The sequence below is a fragment of the Homo sapiens genome, chromosome 4 (genome assembly GCF_000001405.40).
Source record: "Homo sapiens chromosome 4, GRCh38.p14 Primary Assembly".
Classification (NCBI taxonomy): Eukaryota; Metazoa; Chordata; class Mammalia; order Primates; family Hominidae; genus Homo; species Homo sapiens.
Genome location: NC_000004.12, coordinates 188,786,134 through 188,811,256, shown reverse-complemented (window position 1 = coordinate 188,811,256; position 25,123 = coordinate 188,786,134). Strand labels below are relative to the sequence as shown.

General features: G+C 37.6%; 1 long non-coding RNA gene across 5 annotated transcripts in view; it reads left to right on the top strand.

The window, feature by feature from the left end:
• LOC101930028 (uncharacterized) overlaps positions 1–25,123 on the top strand; it is a 49,521-nt gene that overhangs the window by 7,246 nt on the left and 17,152 nt on the right. For 3 of the 5 annotated variants that reach the window (NR_188360.1, NR_188359.1, NR_188361.1), the window contains exons 1-2: positions 14,596–14,749; positions 19,966–20,185. This is a non-coding gene — a long non-coding RNA (uncharacterized LOC101930028). Of the gene's footprint in view, positions 1–14,595; positions 14,750–15,796; positions 16,022–19,965; positions 20,186–25,123 lie in introns of those variants that run through there. The other 2 variants (NR_188362.1, NR_188358.1) reach the window with 2 other exon arrangements.

Here is a 25,123-nt window from a genome sequence, read left to right as displayed (position 1 = left end):
TCTGTCATTCTTTTGTACATGATCTACAACTTCAGGTAGACACATGTCTGGAATATTTGGGAACAGAAAATTCTCCGGTTGAAATGTTTATATTTTCCATAATAACCTGTGATTGTTTTGCCTATCCTCATGGGCTGCTCTAATTGGTCCTAGCATGAAAGCAGTAAAATAGAGGATAATGGATTATTAAGAACATAAGCTTTGTGGTTCATTCAAGGGTTTGAGTGTCAGCTCCACTATTGTGTGCCTGTGTCACCTTATGCAGATTACTTAAACCCCCAAGATTCAGTTTTTCTCATCTTGAAGATATGAATAATAATATCATCTCTGACAAAGTGTTGTTGAAAGAGAAAAATTCCAAAGAATTATTTAATAAAATGCTCAGTAAATCGTAAGTATGCAGAGCATGTTAGCTATACCTTTTTCATGGTGGGCAGAAAGTTCTAGTCCTGTACATTTTGGGGACATCTCTACCATCCTTATATAAAAAAGTGGAGGAATAGAATTACATGATACCATGATCCTTTTGTGGTTAACATTAAAAGAAACCATGATTTTCAAATGTTTTAGTTGATAGAGAGATGAGCACAATATTTTATAGTTTAACATTTACAACGTAAATGCCATGGGAATGGCTATGCCGTGTTCTGGTGCTATTCAGAAGTTTCACATACATTCCATAATATTCTGCTTCTACATTCTTGATCTTTGATAAAAAAGTATTGGTTCTTATGCATAACAAAACATAGAAAAATCAGTTTATACTGTTTTACAACAAAAAAATTGCTGGAAGATGTACTTTGAAAATGCTCCCTATTGTTTATGTTGTCTTTGCATCTTATTACACTTTTATTGTATGATATTCATCCTACTACAGAATTATAATTGTCTATAATTAATCTTTTCTTAGATTGTATTCACTTGAGTTGATGTAACTTTATATGTATCTGTCTATATACAAATATAATATCACACATTCAGACACTATTATAATTCATAATCTCTTTTAGCAATGCCTTCCCCAATGTTCCTGTTATAAATGCTCAATATCTTGTTCATTTTTGTGATATCTCTTGAAAAGCTATCCATTCCTTAGGCTCTTGGTATCAGAAAAGCAATGAATGAATAATGGTATGAAATGGTAAATGTCAGAAGTTGGTTAAGTAATGATAAGGAATATGCTCTATGAAACAACAGTGAATTTTGAAAGTAAGATCCAATTTGTATCTATTTTCCTCACTATTTTACAGATGAGATGAGTTATGGATTTGTAGAAAAACTTTAAAGAAATCAAATCTATGTAAAATATTATAAAATATGAAATTATTTTTGTTGAAGTTCATAAACTTCACAGACTGAGACAAATATCTTTAAACCATTTATATTAACAAGCATTGAATGCAGCAATTCTGTACCATAACATGATATTCCAAATTAAACTTTTGCATCTCAAGTGACCTTTATAGCAGTTTTACAGTTCATAAATTCTGTACAACGTGGCTCTGTGGAGTGGTTTTAATAAATCTTTATTGTGCTATAAACCTTAGTGCGTACACTTGAAATGGCATTTCCAGTCTTAACAACACAAATGAAGGAATGGATCTTTGCTGCCATATGGAGTATTTGCCATAGATAGAGTCTATCAAATATTAAGCATGATTTCAGTAATAAGAAGAAAGCATAACAAGTTACTTATCATTGACACAGGACAAACAAATTGAGACCTATTATTTACAAATATTTACAACAGGTTCAAGAGTCTTAAAGAAAGCTTGCCTACCTTGGGCAAAAGCTAATTTGTTAATTTTATGAAAATATGAGACTACGTGATGCAGAAAGAGAAGTGTTTGTTAAGATATGAATGTCTTCACTCCTTGTAGCATGTAAATTTCTCTACTCAGCACATTGGTTATGTTTGATTGATGGACTCCCAGTTATTCTTTTCCTTCCATCATAATTTTATCTGCCTGGAATCTTAAGTTTGTGATTATATTTGGAGAAATTTATGAAAATCTCTGTGTTGGCTAAAGACAGCCTATTATTCTACATTCAGCCCTTTGAGACCAAGATAACAGTGTCAACTGAAGGCAGATAAAACTGCTGAAATTTAACTAAATATCAGCTTTACCACTGTGTTCATTATACTGTTTTATAAAACTAGAACAATCAGGAGTATAAATAAATATTATTTGAAGTTTTCAAACTATGCTGAAGATGTTAATATAGAGAAGATAATTTTCAGAATGAACTAAAAGGAAAAAAGCAAAGGACTTGGATTCTGTATTTCTTTCTCTTATTTTTCCTGCACATCCCCCATATTCTTTCAATGTTCCTTTCCCAAAGTTCAATTAGAGAGATTGTTAGCTTTCTGGATATAGCTTTTATGTCCTTTATCACTTACGTGCCTCTTTTCTTTCACCTTTTACCTAATAAAATTCTTAAATGTAATCATTTTGGCTGACTAATCTTCTTTTCCAGATTGTCCATTCTGGTATTTACTGCATCTGTTGAGCTTTAAAAAATAAAGATTTTAATTTCCAAATCACGTGATGGCTTCTTCATTATGAGGAACGTATCCTGTTGTATATCCCTGAAGACACACACCACTTACTGACACTTCTTCTCAAGTCCCTATTGACTTTACGTGTTTCACTGAATCTTAGTCCTTCTTAGTCCTTGAGATTGGCAACTTTTTGTGATATTGGTTTGCTTTTTTGTTGTTTTGTTTTTAATTTTTATTTTTGTGGGTACATAGTAGGTATATATATTTATGGTGTACATGATATATTTTGATAAGGTATAATAATCACATCAGGGTATATGGAGTATCCATCGCCTCCAGTGGTGTTGATTTTCTTCCAATGTTGTGTATTTGGGGTTGTCTACTCATATTCATGTTTCACAGTTTCTTTACATCCTTCTATTATGTTTACTTAAGTCTAAACTGGTAACTGGAAGATGAGACTTGGGTCCTGTGCCGGAGAGATCCTGCCCTTTCTGTGACCAGCAATTACCTGGGGAATTGTCTTGATCTCTGCTCCAGTTCCTGCATTTCCGTTATAACCAGAGGGTAATTGCACCACTATTTGCTGCTTAGCGTGAATGCTTTTACCAGTGCTCACTTGAATAATTTTCCATGTAAGTCAGATGACCTAGCTCCTCTCAATTTAGCTCCCACTTAATCAAGATACATTTCCCATGGTCCTTCCCACTTCTTTCAGCCATCGATTCTAGACCTTAAGCTTCTCCACACACCAGCAGTAGCTTTAAAAATAGCTTTCCTCAGCACTTGTTTTAGATACATATTTCTTCTGATTTTATTTCTACCTAGATTTGATCCCTGTGCATTTTCTACCTTTCAAAGACCCTATAAAATGTCTGTGCCTTAATGACACTATTTATCGTTTTCCCATTCTGCACTGGATTTGCCATATTCAAACTTATCTTTTTTGTCATATTGTGGAATGTGAGGCAAGGAGATGTGTGATCCTATCTTAATCCAAATTATTAATTAGTTTATAAACCAGCTTATTAGGATAGTAATGTTGATATCACAGATTAGTATAGTAGCCTTGTAATGTAATATTTTATTTATTTATTTATTTATTTATTTATTTTGAGACAGAGTCTCGCTCTGTCGCCCAGGCTGGAGTGCAGTGGCCCGATCTTGGCTCACTGCAACCTCTGCCTCCTGGTTCAAGCAATTCTCCTGCCTCAGCCTTCTGAGTAGCTGGGAATACAGGTGCCCACTACCATGCCTGGCTAATTTTTGAATTTTTAGTAGAGAGGGGTCTCACCATGTTGGCCAGGCTGATCTCAAACTCTTGATCTCAACTGATCCACCCACCCTGGCCTCCCAAAGTGCTGGGATTACAAGCATGAGCCTAAAATAGCATTTTGAAATCAGATATATTTTGTCTTTTACTAAACACTATGAAAACAGAGAAAAATCAAAGCTCTCTGAACATTATATGTGTGCCCACTTAATATGGGGCATTTGAGGACCAGGTGGCAAAGTGAGTTGCATAGAAAAGGATATGAACATTAAATACCGTGCAGAAAACCTTGATTTTATTTTAAACTTAATTATTATTTATGTACAACATTTGTCTACACACTGGTATTTGAGAAGTGAGCTTGTATCAGGGAAGACATTGGAAGCAGTTTCATTATATCATACAATTATTTATGAATGCCAGTTAAAATTTTCTCCTATTGAAGAATATTTGACTCATGAAAACATTAGATTGATTAAAATACATAAGATTTGTGGTATCAAAATTAGGGGATCCATTTCTTTGCACTGTTAAATCATTTAAAGCACTTTTCAATAACTTTACTGTTAGTCTGAGTAGCAAATTAATTCAGTGCTAGTTATATCTAAATGACTTCTCCAATGTAGAAATAAGAAGGTCAATGACGTGCGTGATGATTTTAATGATATTTGCAATATGAGAAAAGGGAAGCCTGCTAATATATAATAGCCAAAAGATGTCAAGTGGCAAAATTGGGCAAATTATTCTGGAATTGCTTAGAGAAAAATGATTTATTTGTGTTGGTACGACATATTACCTTCCTTATCAAGCCACTGCAATCTAGGAAGCTTCTTGAGAGATTGGGTTATGCATAGTATAGATTCAAAACTTCTTTGTTTACTACCAGAGACCCTGAATAATAGTAGAAAATAAAGGTATTCAAATTCAGCAGCTTCTCATTTCTAAACCCATATTCTCTGAGGAGGTGAAGGCCTAGAGCAGAGATCTTGCTATTTCTTGTTCCAGATTAAGGGAGCATGGTGTGTCCCTGTTTCTGAAAGTGGGCTGTGCAATTCCTAGTGTGTGAATATTTGTATGATAGTGATGATGATACAGTTTCTTGAACACAATGTCCAGGTTACATGGTTCCCAATCACTCCTCATGATCTGTGAATGAGACAGCCACATGAGCTGAGGTTTCTCAGGAAAGTGTTAATAAGCAATCCCCAGCTGGGCCCCAGGTGATAATGATGTACCTCCGAGGACACATCATAGCACAGCAACTGAAAGTATTGTGATCTCCGGGATTCATCTGAGACTCCATTGGCATGTGTGGCTTGTAGATAAAGCAAGGTTTATTATTTTGGTTCACAAGTTTCCTATTTCCGTCTTTTAAGTACAGAGGGAGTCCCAAGTTTCTTCATTTGATTTAAAATCCAAGTTAAAAAGAGAGAAGTTTCTGTTCTTTGTCATAACAAAAATAAATTCATAAGCCATGAACAAGGTGAGCTATTTCCAGAACTGAAGTTATTAAAGACCAGCACCTTAGGTGGCTACCTTGGCATCTCACCTGCAATTTGACATAGAGTCAAAAATGTCATAGTGATTGCATTCCATAAGGATCTCTTTCTAACCGCACATGAACGGAATAATCCAAATTAGGGGCAAAGAGTTTCTTAAATGTAAAATAGTTTCTTAATTGCTTATAGCTGATATCTGCAGGAAAGATAAAGGATCATCTGTGATGCACTTTCATTCTGTAGAGGAAGAAACACTAGACGAGGAGGACCAAGTAACTGCAGTGTAGCAGCTGCTTAAGTTAATGCTTCTCAAACTGGAAATCCGGAATTACCTGAGGCTCTTTAAAACAGTGATGCCTGGAACTGACTCCCAGACATTCTGATATTTTTGGTATACAATGTGAGCAGAGCCTAAGAATTTTAGACACTCCCTAGATAATTCTAGTGTGCAGCCAAGACCAGGGACAACTGACTTAAGCCACTATCAACGTGAATTTTCAGCTATTCCACTTTCTCGTTGGTAAAAGAATCACTCACAAATTCCTGCTTTGTAGGATTATTGGAATGATTATATAAAGATACTATGTGAATGGATTTAGAAAGGGATAAACTTATGTTTAAGATAAACATTTAATAGTTTTTCGCACTCTGAGAATGTTACAATTTTCTAGATGAGTTTGCAATTATCGTGATGGAGAATTATTGATTGATTTAAATTCTTTAAAAATTGGAGTTGTAACTGTGATTCAAAACGTGTTTCTCCTGATAGTGTTCTCATATTCAGATATTAAGCTATGACTCTATGAATTACGCAGCCAGGCGCAGCAGGGCTCATGCAGGTTGGCAGTCAGAGGTTGGCTGGTTCTCTTTGAATCACTTTGACATCTTTGGCAAATCTGTTAACATTTTTATGCCTCATTGGTTTATAAAACACAGATTGTAATAGATGCCCTGTCTCCCAAGTATATGGGGATAATCAAATGTGCTAACAGATGAAAGCCCTTTAAGAAGTAAACTTACTATTAACCTTTTACAAGAGTAAACATCAGCAATAATTCCAAGCTGTGAGACAGTCAGCAGTGTGTTATGAAAACAATATTGAGCCGAAAAATGAGTATTCTTTCTCTTTCTTTTTTTCCTCCTTAAAGGTAGAGATCTGAAACAAATTGACAATTATCTCCTATTAAATACCTCAGCAATTGATTTGTTTATATTCTTTTCTGTACTATTATAAATGTAGAAAGCACTTTATAATTTAAATTTTAAAAATTAAATTAAACATTAGAATATGCTTTCCAGTATGATAATTGTTTGATCTTTGACATGACAAGTCACATGATCTTTCTGGTTCTTTGCTTGCCATCTATATGAACATATGGTCTTTGCTGTCGCTTCCATGCTGTCACATTCAAATTCAAGTATCTAATTGATAATATGATATAAAATAAAAATGACTAAATATTAATGCTGATAGTAGTAGTGATATTTATTGTTTTGAACTAACAAAAATAGAGTTGTTATCTTGCAAGCCAAATGAGAAATGAATGCAAAGACTTTGTCAAGTAAGAAGAAATGACCACATGGAGTGGTGAGTCCGTCAGAATAAAGATATAAGATTCCCAAGGTAATGACAAGAAGCATTGAATTTGGACAAAGTTAATATATATTAGATAAAGCTAATGCCCCAGGGAAACCAAAGATGTAGTTGACAACCTTAGTTCTTAAAAGATTTTCAGAACACACTGAAAACAGCCAGGACCAGTGGATTTCTAGTTCTCTGTGTGAGAGGTGTGTAATTAAAGGTCAAAAATGCCTATTAAAATAAGTATAGGCTGGGTGCAGTGGCTCACACCTGTAATCCCAACACTTTGAGAGGTCGACATGGGCAGATTGCTTGAGCCCAGAAGTTCAAGACCATCCTGGGCAACATAGGGAAACCCCATCTCTACAAAATATACAAAAATTAGCCGGGCATGTTGGTGTGTATCTGCAGTCCCAGCTACTAGGGAGGCTGAGATGGGAGGATTCCTTGAGCCTGGGAGGTGAAAGTTGCAGTGAGCTGAGATTGCACCACTGCATTCCAGCCTGGATGACTGAGTGAGACCCTGTCTCAAAAATAAATACATAAATACATAAAATAAGCATAAATGTGTGTGTGAGTTTGGCATGGATATAAAAATCCATGGTCCATTATGCTCAATATTGGTGGACGTTTAGGGAATCAGTCTAAAGCCCCTTCACACAGTGCCTATTTGTCAACATTGATGAACATTTTCCTGATTTTCTTTTCTAGGTTCAATCCACTGATTTTATCTGTTTGCAGCTATTTCACTATTACTGTCACTGCCTGATTTTAATACAGTGAACAGCAAATCACTCAACTAAGGGTTTCTGATTTTATGCACTATTTTAAATATTTTCTGCAAAATAAAAATGCATATGTATGATGCATATATATATGCACACATATTCATATCCTAGTCTTTACTGTAATGCAGCAACAATCATAAAATTCTTTTTAATATGGTTTGTTATTAATATAAGGACTCCATTGCTACCTTATGCTAAATTGATATCCACTATTTCTCATAGTTTAGTGGCTTAAAACTACAAGCATTTTATTTTCACAATATTGTGAGCAGGATTTTGCACAAGGCCTGACAAAGCAATCCTTGTCCCATGGTGTGGATCAGGATTGCCCTGGGATCTTCAGCAGGTGTGGCCTCCTTGGGAGGGTCCACCACAGTACTGTTTGCTTGTCAGAGGACTTAGCAAGAGGGCTGAAAGGCAGGGCTCAGGTGGGACAATCCACCCAAACGCTGACATGGGACCCCATCAAAGGGCATTCTTGTAGTTGGACTTCTTACATGTCAGTCTTCAGGAGTCCCAGGAAGAATATTCCAAGAGTTTGGGTTTGGGGTTTTTATTCTTGTTTTTGCATTTTACCAACAGATTATTATACTTTCCCTTCTATTTTTAAGATACGTGTATTTTGGACTTTAATTTTCTTTAGCATCTTGGTCAAAAGCTGTAGATTCAATTTTCCAGGTCATTTTAATTCTATTTTCCCTCGACTTTCGATCTCTTTTTATTTATTCTCAAGTCTATGCCAAAGAGTAATATTTTCTAAATGAATGTGGATTATTCCAGAAACTTCTATTAAATATGTTTCTTGAAATGGCTTCAAAACAAATATGTCTTTCTATAACTGCCCTATTTACATCCAATGCCAAAAGTCAGCCTATATTCAACAAGCACTTTTAGGCTTCACCATATGCATAATTGATTGTGCACTTAGGAGAATTCAAGAGAGATAGAAGAAATGGTTCCTACATTTTTGCAATGTATAATCTATTGCAAGAAATCAGACAAACATGCAAAAAATAATAGAAGTTATTTCTAGTAATAAAGAAAAATGTACAACTTATGCATCAGTGCTGTAAAACACAAAACCAAATGAATAGTTTCAGTAGCAAGAGGACAGGCAGGAATTAGTCTTGGGGCAGAGGCCCCTGAGCCAGGTACTGACAGAATGCTGGCTAAGTGTGACAGAGAAGAGGGTGTGGACACGCAGCAAGAAGTTGAAAGGGAAGGAAGTGTCCGGGTTATGGCCAAAAATAACGTGATTAATAGTGATAAGAATAATGTTTCTGCAGTGGGTAAGTGAAATAAATTGCATAGCAGAAGGTTAAGGGGCTTATATGGTAAAAGAAAGATCAAATTTCTCTTATTTTCGTGTGAATTGAAGTAATTTGTTACCTATTCTTCCATTTAACTTTTATCTCAAGGGAAAAACAATCACATCTGAAAAAAAATGTATAAGGCCGGGCGCAGTGGCTCATACCTATAATCCCAGCACTTTGGGAGGCTGAGGCAGAGACCAGCCTGGCCAACATGGTGAAACCCCGTATCTACTAAAAATACAAAAATTAGCTGGGCGTGGTGGCGGCGCCTGTAGTCCCAGCTACTCAGGAGGCTCAGGCAGGAGAATCACTTGACCCCGGGAGGCGGAGCTTGCAGTGAGCCTTGATCACGTCACTGCACTCCAGCCTGACAGAGTGAGACCCCATCTCAAAAAAAAAAAAAAAAATTAGCTGGGCGTGCTGGCGGGCGCCTGTAGTCCCAGCTACTCAGGAGGCTGAGGCAGGAGAATTGCTTGAACCCGAGAGGCGGAGGTTGCAGTGAGCTGAGATTGCTCTCCATCCTGTGCAACAGAGCAAGACTCCATCTAAATAAATAAATAAATAAATAAATAAATAAAATATATATACATACACACACAATTATATATATGTATACATATATAGTGTATATATAGACACGTGTGTACACAATTGTGTATATATACACTTGTATGTGTGTACACTGTGTGTGCATATATATATAATCATATATTTGTATTTTTAGAGAAGATATATATACACACACACACACACACACACACACACACACACACACACATATCCCAGAGAACCTGGCTCAGAGGCCTCTGCCCAAAGACTAATTCTTGCTTGCCCTCTTGCTACACAAGCTATTTGGTTTTGTATTTTACAGCACTGATGCATAGATTGTACATTTTTCTTTATTACCAGAAATGACTTCCATTATGTATTGCATATTTGTCTGACTTCAATATATTACATCTAGCTTATGAATGTGTATACATATATTGTATGTACACACCAGTGTTAATTTCCTGGCATTAACTGTCATTTTGTTTGATATGAGAGAAATTGTAACCAGAGGAATTTGTGTACAAGACACATAGGAACTCTGTATTATTTGTGTGGCTTATTTTAGGTCTTAAATTATTTTAAAACAAAAGGTTGTATTTTGAAAATAAGAAAGCTTGCCTTTTCCTGAGTATGGATGTAGGTAACCAAAATGCATTGGAAAGAAAATAAAACTAAAGATCATTTACTTGATAATAGGTCTTAATTGAAGAGAATTTAAGTAAAAAGCTGTCTTTTAATTTGAGTAAAATATTATAGTCTGTAAACAGAGCTTCATTCAAGCTAAGTCATTAAGTTCCTAAAGAATAGTAGGAAAAATCTATGTTGATTTTTAAAATGCAATTCACTTCCGTGCATACACGCAATATTACATTTGGGTCAATGTAATATTTTACTAAAATGATAAACAAAGGATATTTTTACATATGTTTATAATTACTATATTTTCTTTGACAATACTTAATATATAAACATATATCTCCTACTCCTATTTTATCTGGTAGCTAAAAGCTATATTGAATATTTGGAAAATGGAATGAGCTGCAGGATCTTATTTTTTTGATTCTATAACTCCATTTCTGTTGTTAGGAAACATGCTGATTTCTGCTTTCTTTGGCACTTTTTGTTTGCTTCCTTACAGAGTAACCAATCATACTACATTTTAAATTTAGGAAACAGAATTTGATTTTTAGCAAAGGTGACATATTTATGAGTTGTTTTGTTGTTTTCTACCCAAGTTTGTATTTTTTAAAGGCCTGAAATAATCACTTGGACGTTAAGAGCTAAATCGAAGCACTTCTTCATGCACTTCTTAGAATTAGACCACTCGTGTAAATGGCTATTAAATGGGCTGTTTGCGTAAAATTCTTATCATCTTTGCATCTCCCAGCAACTTTTATCTTCAAATCTGCTAGTGTTCTAGAAATCTTTCTTTCATTATCCACTATCCCCAAAGCTCTTCTAAAATGTTAGAAAAATGTTTCTCTCCTAAATCTTTCTTCATTCATTTCTCAATTGAAATAGTTAAGACACGAAAATAAGAAGTGACTTTCTTAGAACAATTCTCATTTTCTGCAAGAGTAGGTTATTGTGACAGCATTATGGCCCTGTTAGCCTATTCAAAAGAGAGAAAAAGTCATCTAATACATGTTATGTGCCTTCTAACCAGAAACCAAAAATCCTGAAGGAGTTTTTCCATGGAAGAATACATGCATCCCTCAGAGATATTGTGTCTTGTTCCAGACCACTGCAGTAAACAAATATCACAATAAAGCAAGTCACACAATGTTTTTGGTTTTTCAATGCATATAAATATCATATCTATATTATACTGTAGTCTATGAAGTGTGCAAAACATTGTGTCTAAAAAAAGTACATATGTCAATTTAAAAATGCTTTCTTGCTAGAAAGTGCTAATCATCACCTAAGCCTTCAGAGAGTCATAATCTTTTTGCTGGCAGAGGGAGACTCTTTCCTCATTATTGACGGCTGCTGACTGATGAAGTTGATGGTTGCTGAAGGTGGGGGTGGCTGTAGCAATTCCTTAAAATAAGATAACAATACAATTTGCCATACTGGGTGACTCTTCTTTCCTGAATGATTTCTCTGTAGCATGCGATGCTATTTGAAAGCATTTTCCCCATTGTAGAATTTCCTTCAAAATTGAAGCAATCTTCTCAAACCTTGTCACTGCTTTATCAAATCAGTGTGTGGAATATTCTAAATCTTTTGTTGTCATTTCAACAGTGTTCACAGCATCTTCACCAGGGGGAGATTCCATCTCAAGAAACCACTTTCTTTATTCATTTATAAGAAGCAACTCCTTATCTGTTCAAATTTTCTCATGAGATTGCAAATTTCAGTCACATCTTTAGGCTCCACTTAGAAATCTAATTCTCTTGCTATTTCTACCACAAGTGTATTATTTCCTCCACAGAAGTCTTAACCCCTCAAAATCATCCATGAGGGTTGAAATTAACTTCTTCTAAACTCCTTTTAATGCCGAAATTTTGACCTCCTTCCATGATTCCATGAATCACAAATGTTCTTAATGGCATCTAGAATGGTGAATTCTTTCTGTAAGGTTTTCAATTTACTTTGCCCAGATCCATCAAAGAAATCACTATCTATGACAGCTATAGCCTTATGAAATACGTTTCTTAAATAATAAGACTTGAAATTTGAAATTACTCCTTGATCCATGGGCTGCAGAATATATGTTGTGTTAGCAGGCATGAGAACAACATTAATCTCCTAATACATCTCCATTGGGCCATCAGGGCTGTTGGGTGGCTTGGTGCATTGTCAACGAGTAGTAATGTTTTCTGAAAAATATGTTTTTTCTGAGAAGTAGGTCTCAAGAGTGGACTTAAAATATTCAATAAACCATGCTGTAAACAGGAGTGCTGTCATTTGGGCTTTGCTGCTTCATTTAGGGACCATCCATAGAGAATTTAGCACAATTCATGAGGGCCTTAGGATTTTTGAAAGAGTAAATTAGCAATGGCTTCAATTTAAAGTTGCCAGCTGTATTAACTCCTAACAAGAAAGTCAGCCTGCCCTTTGCAGCTTTGAGTCAGGCATTGAGTTTTCCTCCCTACCTCTGAGAATCCTAGATGGTATCTTCTTCCAATAGAAGGCTGTTTTAGAGGGCTGTTTTAGAAGGCTGTTTGAGTTATCTACACTGAAAACCTTGTTTAGTGTGGCCATCCTCCACCATAATCTTAGCCAAATCTTCTGGGTAACTTGCTGCGTCTTCTACATCATCACCTGCCAGTTCAACTTGCATTTTCTGTTGTGAAGGTTGCTTATTTCCTAAAACCCCATGAACCAACCTCTGCTACATTGGAACTTTGCCTCTGCAGATTCCTCACCTCTCTCAGTCGTCATAGAATTGAAGAGAATTAGAGCCTTGCTCTGGATTAGGCTTTGTCTTATGGCAATACTGTGACTGGCTTAATCTGCTACTGAGATCACTCAGACTTTCTCCATATCAGCAATAGGATGTTTCGCTTTCTGTTATTATTTTTTTTTTGAGATGGAATCTCACTCTGTTGCCCAGATTCTAATGCAGTGGTGTGATCTCAGCTCACTGCAACCTCTGCCTCCCTGGTTCAAGGGATTTTCCTGCCTCAGCCTCCCCAGTGGTTGGAACTACAGGTGTCTGCCACCATGCCCAGCTATTTTTTGTATTTTCAGTAGAGATGGGGTTTCACCATGTTGGCCAGGCTGGTTGGTCTTGAACTCCTGACCCCAGGTGATCCACCTGCCTCAGTCTCCCAAAGTGCCGGGATTACAGGCGTGAGCCACTGTGCCCAGCCAGGATGTTTTGCTTTCTTATCATTCATGAGTTCATTGGAGTAGCACTTTTAATTTCCTTAAAGAACTTTTCCTTACCATTCACAACTTGGCTAACAATTTGGTACAAGAGGCCCAGCTTTTGGTCTGTTTCAGCTTTCAACATGCCTTCCTCACTAAGCTTCATCATTTCTAGCTTTTGATTTTAAAATCAGATGTGCAACTCTTCCTTTTATTTAAACATTTAGCGGCCATTGTGAGGTTATTAATCGGCCTAATTTTAATATGATTGTGTGTCAGAGAATAAAAGGGCCTGTGGAGAGGGAGGGAGGCCGAGGAATGCCGGTCACTGGAGCACACAGAACACACACAGCATTTACCAATGAAGTTTGCCATTTCATATGTGCATGGTTCGTAGTGCCCCAAAACAAGTAGAAAAGCCACAGCAAAAATCGCTGATCACAGATCACCATAACAGATGTAATCATAACAAAAAAAGTTTTAAGTATTGAGAGAATTACCAAAATACGACACAGAAACAAAGTGAGCACATGTTTTAAAAAAAACAACTGTGCCAATAGACTTGCTAAACACACAATTGCCATAAACCTTCACTGTGTAGAAAAAATGCAGCATCTGTGAAGTGCGATGCAGTATCTATGAAAATGCAGTGTCTGTGCAGTGCGGTGCAGCGTCTGTGAATCTGTGAGGTGGGGCGCGGCGTCTGTGAGATGCGGCGCAGGGTGTGTGAGGTGCTACGCGGCGTCTGTGACGTAGGGCGCAGGGTCTGTGAGGTGCGGCGCAGGGTCTGTGAGGTGTGGCGCGGCGTCTGTGAGGTGTGGCGCGGCGTCTGTGAGGTGCGGCGCGGCGTCTGTGAGGTGCGGCGCAGGGTCTGTGAGGTGTGGCACGGCGTCTGTGAGGTGTGGCGCGGCGTCTGTGAGGTGTGGCGCGGCGTCTGTGAGGTGTGGCGCGGCGTCTGTGACGTAGGGCGCAGGGTCTGTGAGGTGCGGCGCAGGGTCTGTGAGGTGTGGCACGGCGTCTGTGAGGTGTGGCGCGGCGTCTGTGAGGTGTGGCGCGGCGTCTGTGAGGTGTGGCGCGGCGTCTGTGAGGTGGGGCGCGGGGTCTGTGAGGTGGGGCGCGGGGTCTGTGAGGTGTGGCGCGGCGTCTGTGAGGTGGGGCGCAGGGTCTGTGAGGTGTGGCACGGCGTCTGTGAGGTGTGGCGCGGCGTCTGTGATGTAGGGCGCAGGGTCTGTGAGGTGCGGCGCAGGGTCTGAGGTGTGGCGCGGCGTCTGTGAGGTGCGGCGCGGCGTCTGTGAGGGGCGCGGCGTCTGTGATGGGCGCAGGGTCTGTGAGGTGCAAAGGCCATTTAGTGTGTGGCCTTAGTTAATTTTTTGTTTTCAATTTTCTGTCTCTCATGTTATTGATCTGTAAAAGGAGCATAATCGTAAGTGTCTCTTCTTATTAGGTTACTTGTGAGGCGTAAGTGAAGTACTATGTGTTAACTAGTATCATGAAACTACAGCCTCACTCTCCGGAGGAAATAGTGTAATGATAGCGCCGTTTACAGGGTGCACCGTAACAGGAGGCAAAAACAGAGGTGGATACGTGCAGAGAAGTCTTTAGGTGGTCTTGACACTAGAGCTGAATTTGAAGGAAGTTGAGAACTTGTTAGATGAAGGGACCTGAGAACAGGAACAAGTGTTCACCAAGACCGGTCTGTGTGAACACACAGAGGCGGAAATCATGCCAAAACTTGCAGAGTGGCAGGAAACTCCATTCAGCTGGAGAAAGCATACATATGGAGGGAGTGAAAGGAGATAACAGTGGAGAGGTCTGGGCAAATTTAGGCTGACTTCAAGAAGGCAGGAGTTTCCTGTGAAGAAAATTGACTGATACAGATTTGTGTTTTAGAAAAGTCAGTCTGTCAGCAGCTGGGAAGGTGAAGGGGAGGTGTCACACCAGATGTAATAAAATTGGTTAGTGGGATTTAGCCATTGTTTTAAAGAGTGGTGAAGGTAAGGGGAGTGTGGAGAGAGAGAACTTTTTGGAAGTTGGTTATATTGATGGGACATGTGGATGTGACTATGAAGAGACGGAATCAAAAATGGGCCAGAAGTCCTAAATCTGAGCAACCTGTGGCATGTGCACATAAATATGACCCGGGGACATGTGGGTGTGAGAGTCTTTATTTCAGCAAAATATACTAAGCTAGAGGTATAGATTTTGGAATCTTCAACAATTAATTGGCCATTGTGGCCAAGTGAAAACATTAGGAGTCTAAAGATAGAGCTGTGGCCAACACTCATATTTAAAGAAAGGCTTGAGAAGCCCAGTGATGCAAGAAGTGTCAAGAAAATATCACTATAAAAATGTTTGAGAAGCATGGTACTAGTCATCAGTGTTAAATGTGCTTCTGGTGAGGGGTTCAGGAAGTTTCCAATCATGACGGAAGGTGAAGAAGAGTAGGCATCACATAGCAAGAGGGGATGCAAGACACAGGGAGAGAGAGAAGAGGGAGGCACCAGGATGCTTTCAGCAATCAATGTCAGGAAAACTGATAGAGCAAGAAGTCACTCATTGTCACAAGGACGGCACCAAGCCCTTTCTGAGGAATCTGCCCCATGACCCAAACACCTCCCACCAGGCCCTACCACCAACACAGGGGATCACAGTTCAATGTGCGATTTGGAGGCAAAACATATACAAACTATACTAGGTAAGAATATACTAGGTAAGAACTTTTTTCACAAGACCCTAGTGGGACTCCAGACATAGACTGAGCTACTTTGGGGCTTAGCCCTCTCTGGGAGCTCTAAAATTAGAAGTTAGAGACACTATTTGACATTTTATAAAAGCCATCTGCAGTGATGTTCCTGCTAGAGGATTATGCACAGACAATTGCAGCATCAAGGGAATGACTGAAAGTAAGATAGATTCATCCAAATGAGACAACACCACACCAAATGGGGAATGACTGAAGGTAAGACAGATTCATCCAAATGAGACAACACCACACCAAACGGGGAATGACTGAAGGTAAGACGGATTCATCCAAATGAGACAACACCACACCGAACGGGGAATGGCTGAAGGTAAGACGAATTCATCCAAATGAGACACCACCACACCAAATGGGGAAGGAATTCAAGGTCCTTGGTCCTTTTATCTGCTGAAAGTGCTCTTTCAGCTGAGCACAGTTCTTCATCTTAAAGCTAGGCCACAATAGTTGTGGCATGAGCAACTGCCCTGATCCTGAGACACTCACTTCTTCCCTGTCCCCAAACCACAACCAGCCCTCCCGGACAGTGGACCCCCTTCCACACCAGCACAATGACCCATCTTGTGGTTGGCCAAGCCCCTACTGGCCTTGGCTCTTCCCATTCATTGCAGGTTTATTTGAGGGTCTTCTTTACCTTTATATTCTACAGTGATGGAGCATGGCCATCTCCCATTATTTCTCAGTATGGGTGTCATATTTCTGCTTCAGGCAAGCAAGAGGCCTGGGGCTCTCCTGGAAGTTTGCTGGATTCTTTATGTCAACTGGCTTACCTCTACCCAAGAACCCTGCAAAACTACCTAGCCAGGCTGCCAACCCCAAGGAGGCATGCTGGTAGCACCATTCTTCCTCCAGAGTGCTTTGTTCTTCTATTTTATGTAACTAGAAAGATCATTACATTGGAAACATAATTTTAAGAGAAAACGTAAAAACATCAGCAAAACCTAAAATATCATTGAGCTCTGTGGCTCTTCATATGACTCCTTTTCCACCTTTCTTTAAATTACTGAGCATTGCAAATAGAATTAAACATCTCTACTATAATTGAGCAGACAATCAGCAGTCCTCCTAAAAAAATGCTGAAGACATTTGAAATGGAGAGAAAAGTTTACTGTATAAAGCACCCACAAAAATCTTGCACTGGCCAGTGGGATCTTGGGATGACCAGAATTCTCTGGAGAAATTTTTCTATTATCAGCAATTCTCCTAGTTGTGAAAATTAGTACTACAAAAAAAATCAACAACATAAATAACATGTGAAGAGGGAGAAAAAAATGCATTATAACATAGTGGAGTATTTTACTTCTTAAATTGTTCATTAAGGCAGTTTAATAGAAATGTACCGGCTCATTTTGAGGTTATTTAAGATGCTGCATTAGCAATGATTTGTAGCAAATGTTTCATCCAGCGAATTCTAAGTAATTGTGGAAAGATGTAATGAAGCGCCAACTGGCTATGACAGTGCTCTGTGGGTTGTTTCCGTTTCTTGCAACTCCAGTTATTCTTATTTTAAAATAGTGTTCAGTTCTCTCTACAGGTAAAACGTAAAGCATGACTAATTGTCTATATGTAATTCTAATTAATAGCTTTAAGCAAAGCAAATTTACTAAAAATGTGCTAAAACTCAGCACGTATATTATACCAGAACCCAGAGACTAAAAGTGAAATAAAACATGTTTTTGGTGAGATCCTTTGTTCTGTGAGAATTCTACATTGTCAATTCTCAAAAAAGGGTTACATGGATATATTCTCCCAAAAGTATAATAAAGAGCAATTATTTCTAGCAAAGATCAGGAAAGCGTCAATAAATACTACAATTTAATTTTTTAAATGTATGGAGAAGGTCAAACATATATATATATACATGTATACACACATATACACACATGTATATACACATTTAATATCCTTCATTTATTGTATAAGAGGAAATTACCTAGATCATTCATTGGTTGGAAACAGGAGATATTGCTTTCCTTTATTTACTAATATTGTCCCTTTTGACAGTAATGTTTGCTGGAGGATAGACTATCAGATTAATGAGCCTATTCTACACTTTTCAAGAGCAGACTATGACCCAGAGGAAATTCTGCTCTCTGCTTAAGTTGAATAAATGAATCCAAACTGGTCATTTGCATTCACTAACATGTTTTGTCTCTCACATCAGCACCTCTGGAACTAATGTGACCTCCAGGTTTCATATGTGTTTCCCAACCTCAGCCCTTGACATGATCCAGCTCTTTCTTTCTTGAAAATGTAACACTTGCTCATTTGAACTTGATAATTTTAGTCTATAAAACTCCATCCTACACCTCCTTAAAGACTTGAGGTCTCACACACAAAGGAATTTTCCTCTCTATTTTTGGAGAAAGCACATTCAGGCTTTCATCCATATTAGGCCAATCTTGAGGCCGAAAATATGCCTTCTAGAATCTGCCTTCATTTCTTTCTGTCTTTAGTCTACTTTTAATTCTCCAAGGTTAATTTAGCTCTAGTTTCTATTTTGTTTTGTTTTTAGAACTTTTAACTTCTCTGAATGCAGGCTTGAATGCAACCTCTAGTTTTGGCATGAATATCTGTTTCTTAACTGCCATTTCTATTACATTGATTGGTGAACAACAAGACCTCAGTTCAGTGATAAAGCTGTAGTCCTAGACTTACTCACAAGCATAATATAAACACATCATTCCTTTCTTTCTTCCCAGATCCTTGTCTCACAAAGTATCCTGTATTTGGACCATGCCAAAAACTGTAAAAAGAAAATTTAATTTTCCTTTCTAGTGAAAACTCATATGAGATTCTACCTGCATTTGGAAAATATGATGTATTCTTTGTGGCTTCCTCCTTATACTAGATAATGTACAAAATCAGTTAATAAAGAGGCCCTTCATGCTAATAGCAAGCATCCAATTTGAATATACAGTGGTTATATAAAAGAACATATATGAAGTATAGCTTATCAGAAAATCAGTGAACATTGACTTTTAAAATATGAAAAAACAATAGGATCTACTTTTTAAAAATATAATTTAATAGGCAGTCATATTAAGACCATTTATAGTTTGTTTGGAAAAACATCAGGGTGGACATCTTCAATCTTATACAACATTGAAACAAATTTATTTTGGAATTCAAAAATGTAGAATCATCTTGTACATGAGGAGTCATGCCTTTTCAATACAAAAAACAGTGAACATCACATTTAATCGAATCTACGATATCACATTGATATGAGTGGGCTTGAAAAATTCTCAGTCTCTTAAGGAAGAAGTGAGGGGGGCTATATATAGGGGAACAAAAATAATTTTTAGACTAAGAGTAATAATAGCTCAAGCTGACTGAGATGACTGATCTGAGCTCAGAATTGGACACCACAAGACAGTCCTTTGACTTTTAGGAAATGAAGCCATATTTTATCTTTAAGATAAAAGGTAATTATTAAATTCCTCCAGTATCTTAGGCATTCAAAAAGAGAGACATAATGCATGTGTCTAAAACGCTTTCAGATTATACAATCCATTCTCAGAGGAACTTCAGAAATTAGGACAGAAGTAGAAAAAAAAGGAATGTGACTTTTTCTAAAGAAAGGATTAAAGGATTTACAGGAAAATAATTTTTTGTTCCCATTATTTTCCCCTGGAAATGGTGCTTAAAAGAATTTTCATTTATGTTTACATTGAGTTTTTTCTTGTGTGTGTGTGTATGTGTTTGTATGTAAATGAACCTAATTCACAGTAGATGAGTCTAAGATGTAGTAAAAGGTTTTATATCTACCTATCCCAACTGCAGAGAGATGAAAGCCTTAATCAAGTTTGAGCTTGAGCCTTAATCAAGTTTGTACTTTCAAGTTTGAACTTTATGCCTCTTCTTTAATGTCCCTTTAGGAAGACAAACTGATGTGAGGATGAGGAGGAGTCAGAAATAAACTCATTCAACTAATACTTGAGTAGCTACTGTTGCCTACAGTATGTTCAAGGTTTTGCTAGTCATCCATATGATCACTATTGACAGCTTGGGAGACTCACACAGGCTAGTGAATTTCAGGAATTAACAGAAACTGAACAGCTTCTATAATCCTGCAGGAAGTAACCTCTGGATGGCACAGTAAGTACTCCCGTGTCCCTATGGATAACCTGTTAAGGGCCAGGTTTCAGTTAATGGAACCATATTAATTAAGATGTTGAAAGGAAATATGCAGTTTATATGTGGCGAATGTAAAATGCTATTCGTAAAAGATTTCTGAATACACTTTTTAAAAAGAAATTTAAAAATATTATAGTTGTTTCTTTGAAATAATGTTAAGTAATAAATGAAAGTCATTATTCATAGAAAACATTATTGTATATAGAAAATCTTAGGGAATTATAAAATTATAGAACTAATGCATAATTTTAGCAATGTCACAGATTACAAGATTATAAAAACTCAATTTATTTCTTTATTTTAGTAACAAAACATCTGATAATAAAATTAAGAAAATCCCATTTAAGAATAATAAAATACTTAGAAATAAATTTAATAAAACAAGTGTAAAAATCTGAACACTGGAAACTTAAAGAGCTGAGAAAAAATACATACATGCTTACATTCTAAACAAATGCAGAAATATCTATGCCCAGAAGATTCAATAGTGTTAAGACAGCAATTAATCTATAGATTCAGTGCAATTCCTATCAAAATTCTACCAAGCTTTTAAAGAAGTTGACAATCCAATCCTAAAATTTTTATGGAAAAGCAAAAATGAACAAACGAACAAACAAAAATCCCCTAGAACTGTCAAAAAACAATTTCAAGAAAAAGCATAATTAGAAGAATTATGCTGCCTGATTCCAAAGCTTACTATAAAGCTATGGTAATTAAAGCAGTCTGATATTTGCATAAGGATAGACATATAGATCAATGAAAACAATACAGAGTGTAAAAATAAACCACTATAATCATGGCTACTTGATTTTCAACAAAGGCACCTGGATAATGCAAAGGGAAAATAATGATAGCCTTTTTAACAAAGGATGCTGAAGCAACTGGATACTGCGTGCAAATTAAAACAAAATAGCATTGCATATCTAAATGGTTACAACCAAAACACTGACAGCACCAAATGCTGGCGAGGATGTAGAGCAACAGAAACTCAATTGACCATATTTTTTAGGTTTCCCTCTGTATTCTCTATTCTGTACCATTGATCTGCATCTCTATCTCTATGCTACATCTTGCACATTTATTCCAGACATATCCCTAAATATTTATTTTTTTATAAAATTGAAAATGGTATTTGGCCTGGCACAGTGGCTCACGCCTGTAATCCCATCACTTTGGGAGGCCAAGGCGGGTGGATCACGAGGTCAGGAGATCGAGACCATCCTGGCTGACACGGTAAAACCCCGTCTCTACTAAAAATACAAAAAATTAGCCGGGTGTGGTGGCGGGTGCCTGTAGTCCCAGCTGCTCGGGAGGCTGAGGCAGGAGAATGGCATGAACCCGGGAGGCGGAGCTTGCAGTGAGCCGAGAGTGCGCTGCTGCACTCCAGCCTGGGTGACAGAGTGAGATTCTGTCTCAAAAAATATAAACATAAAAAATAAAATAAAATTGAAAATGGTATTTATGCCATTGACCCAGCAACCCCATTATTGGGTATGTGCCCAAAGGAATAGAAATCATTTTATTATAAAGACACAGGCACATGTTTGTTCACTGCAGCACTATTCACAATGTCAAAGACATGGAATCAGCCTAAATGCCCATCAATGATAGACTGGATAAAGAAAATATGGTATATATACAGCATGGAATACAATGCAGCCATAAAAAAGAATGAGATCATGTCCTTTGCAGGGACATGGATGAAGCTGGAGGCCATTATCCTTAGCAAAGTAATGCAGGAACAGAAAACCATACAGCATGTTCTCACTTATGCGGGAGCTAAATGACGAGAACACACAGACACATAGAGGGGAACAACACACAATGGGGCCTATTGGAGGGTGGAAGGTAGGAGGTGGGAGAGGATCAGGAAAAATAACTAACGGGTACCAGGCTTCATACCTGGGTGATGAAATAATCTGCACAGCAAATCCCCATGATACACATTTGCCTATGTAACAAACCTGCACATACTGCACATGTACCCTTGAACTTAAAATAAAATTTAAAATATCTGGCATTTATTTTTAAATTGTAATTTCCAATTGTTCATTGGTAATACATAGAAATATGAGTTCTGGTAGCATTTTGGTAGATTCTCAGGCTTTTCCATGTACATAACTGTCACCTAACAATGTTTCTTCTTCCTTTCAAATTTATACCTTTATTTTTGTATTTCTTCATTGCCCAGTGCATCTAACTCTGGCAGGACCTCCAGTACAATACAGGAAAGAAGTAATAGTGGACATTCCTGCCTTGTTCTCATCTTAGGGGAGAAAATATTCTTCTACCATTAGGAGGATAGATTCAGTTTCTTGGAAGAGGTCCTTTATAAAGTTACACAAATTCCTTTCTATTCCTCATGTTCTGATAATTTTTCATCATGAATGGATGTTGAATTTTGTGAATACTTTTCATTTGTAGAGATTAACATGCTTTATTATTTTACTGATAATGGTATATTACACTGATTTTTTAATATTAAACCAACTTCATATTTGTGAGAAATACTCAAGCTGATTTTCCTATAACATCCTTACTATATACTTCCAAATAACCCATGAGCTCATGAAAAAAGTTACAAATAAAATTAGAAAATATTTTAAATTCAATGACAGTGAATGAATCAACATGCTAAAGGTTGAGGGATGCCGAGAAAACAGTGTTAGAGGGAAATTTAGAACTTTGGATGCATATATTCATACATAAGAAAGGCACAAAATCAGTGATATAAGATTTCACCTTAAGAAATTAGAAGAAAAAGAGAAAATTAAAACTAATGAAGAGTAAGTAGGTAATTATAGTGCCGAAAACAATGAAATACTAAATGGACAAAAGCAACAGGGAAACATGAATATAAACAAAAAAGCTTGTTCTTTGACAAAAATTGATAATCTACTAAGTAGAGACATCAAAAATTAGCTTGGAGGAAGGGACATTACTATGCATCCAATAGATAATTTTTAAAAAACAACACGAATAACTACATTTCAATAAATTTGAATCTTAGAGGACGTGAAGTTTCTCAAGGGCACAAATTACCAAAAAGAGAAATTAAGGAAATTGAATTTATAACTAAAAACATTTCCTCAAGCACTTCAAACGTAAGTGTGAATTCTATCAAACTTTAAAGGAAGACATCATCTCAATTTTATATAGACACTAGCAGAAGACAGAAAAGAACATTTACTGTCTTTGTTTTTGAGACCAACTTAGGCCTCATGGCAAAACCAGAAAAAGATGTCAGAAGGAAAGAAAATTACAAAGCAATATAGATTCCTCCTGAGCAAAGACACAAAATCCTCAACAAAATATTAGCAGAGAAATAAAGTGTTTTAGTGGACACTGAACACTAGGCAGCTGTACCAGGCAGAATAATGATCCTGCAAAGATGTCCACATCCTAGTACCTGGGATCCTTGAACATGTTAGGTTACATAGCAAAAAAGCCTTTGCAGTGATAAAGGATCTTTTTTTTGTTTAAGTAGAGATGGGGTTTCAGCATGTTAGCCAGGATGCTCTCGATCTCCTGACCTTGTGATCCGCCCGCCTCAGCCTCCCAAAGTGCTGGTATTGCAGGCCTGGCCCATCGCGCCCCGTCAAGGATATTAAGATGGGAGTTTACTTTACATTACAAGGTGGGCCCAAGATAATCAGGGGTCCTATAAGGAAAAGAAGGAGGCAGGAGGAGATGCGATGACGGAAGCAGAGGCTGTAGTGATGGAAGGTCACTAGCCGTGGAAGGCAGGAGCCTCTAGAAGCTGGAGATGGAAAGGCAATAGACTCTCTCTTAGAGCCTCCAGAGGGAATGCAGCCCTGAAGACCCATTTTGGATTTCTGTCCTCCAGATGGTAAAATAATGTGTCTGTGTTGTTTTAATAAACTGCATTTACAGTAATTTGTTACGGCAGCAATAGGGAACTAATATAGCAATGCAGAGGTGCTTTTACAATTTTAAAATTTCCGTCCATCTGTAGAATAAGAAGGATGCATAGGTGTATGGAGATAACTTGTAGGTATTTTCAGAGAATAAATAATATAATATTTGCCAATGTTTGAAAAAGTGCTAATTAGTTAGAACCACTTCATTTTATGGACATATTCAGTTAAAAATGGCATAAGAATTTTTTTCTGGCCCAGCGCAGTGGCTCACGCCTGTAATCCCAGCACTTTGGGAGGCCAAGGCAGTGAGATCACGAGGTCAGGAGATCGAGACCATCCTGGCTAACATGGTGAAACCCTGTCTCTACTAAAAATACAAAAAATTAGCTGGGCGTGGTGGCGGGCGCCTGTAGTCCCAGCTACTCGGGAGGCTGAGGCAGAAGAATGGCGTGAACCTGGGAGGCGGAGCTTGCAGTGAGCCGAGATGGCACCACTGCACTCCAGCCTGGGTGACAGAATGAGACTCCGTCTCAAAAAAAGAATTTTTTTCTATTTTCTTATTCTAGAGGTAGAAATTCTAAAACCACAGTTAAAAAAGACTGAAATGTAGAGAGCTGTTATCTCAAGAAAGATATAAGTTAAGATTTCTTCTAGCATTAATTTTTGATAATTTTATAGCTGCTTAAAGATCATATTGGACATCAAATGTTGATACAACAAGAAAATTAGACTTTTTTTTTTTTTTTTTTTGAGACAGAGTCTGGCTCTGTTGCCCAGGCTGGAGTGCAGTGGCGCGATCTCAGCTCACTGCAAGCTCCGCCTCCTGGGTTCACGCCATTCTCCTGCCTCAGCCTCCCGAATAGCTTGGACTACAGGCTCCAGCCCCCACGCCTGGCTAATTTTTGTATTTTTAGTAGAGACGGTGTTTCACCATGTTAGCCAGGATGGTCTCGAACTCCTGACCTTGTGATCCACCCGCCTTGGCCTCCCAAAGTGCTGGGATTACAGGCGTGAGCCA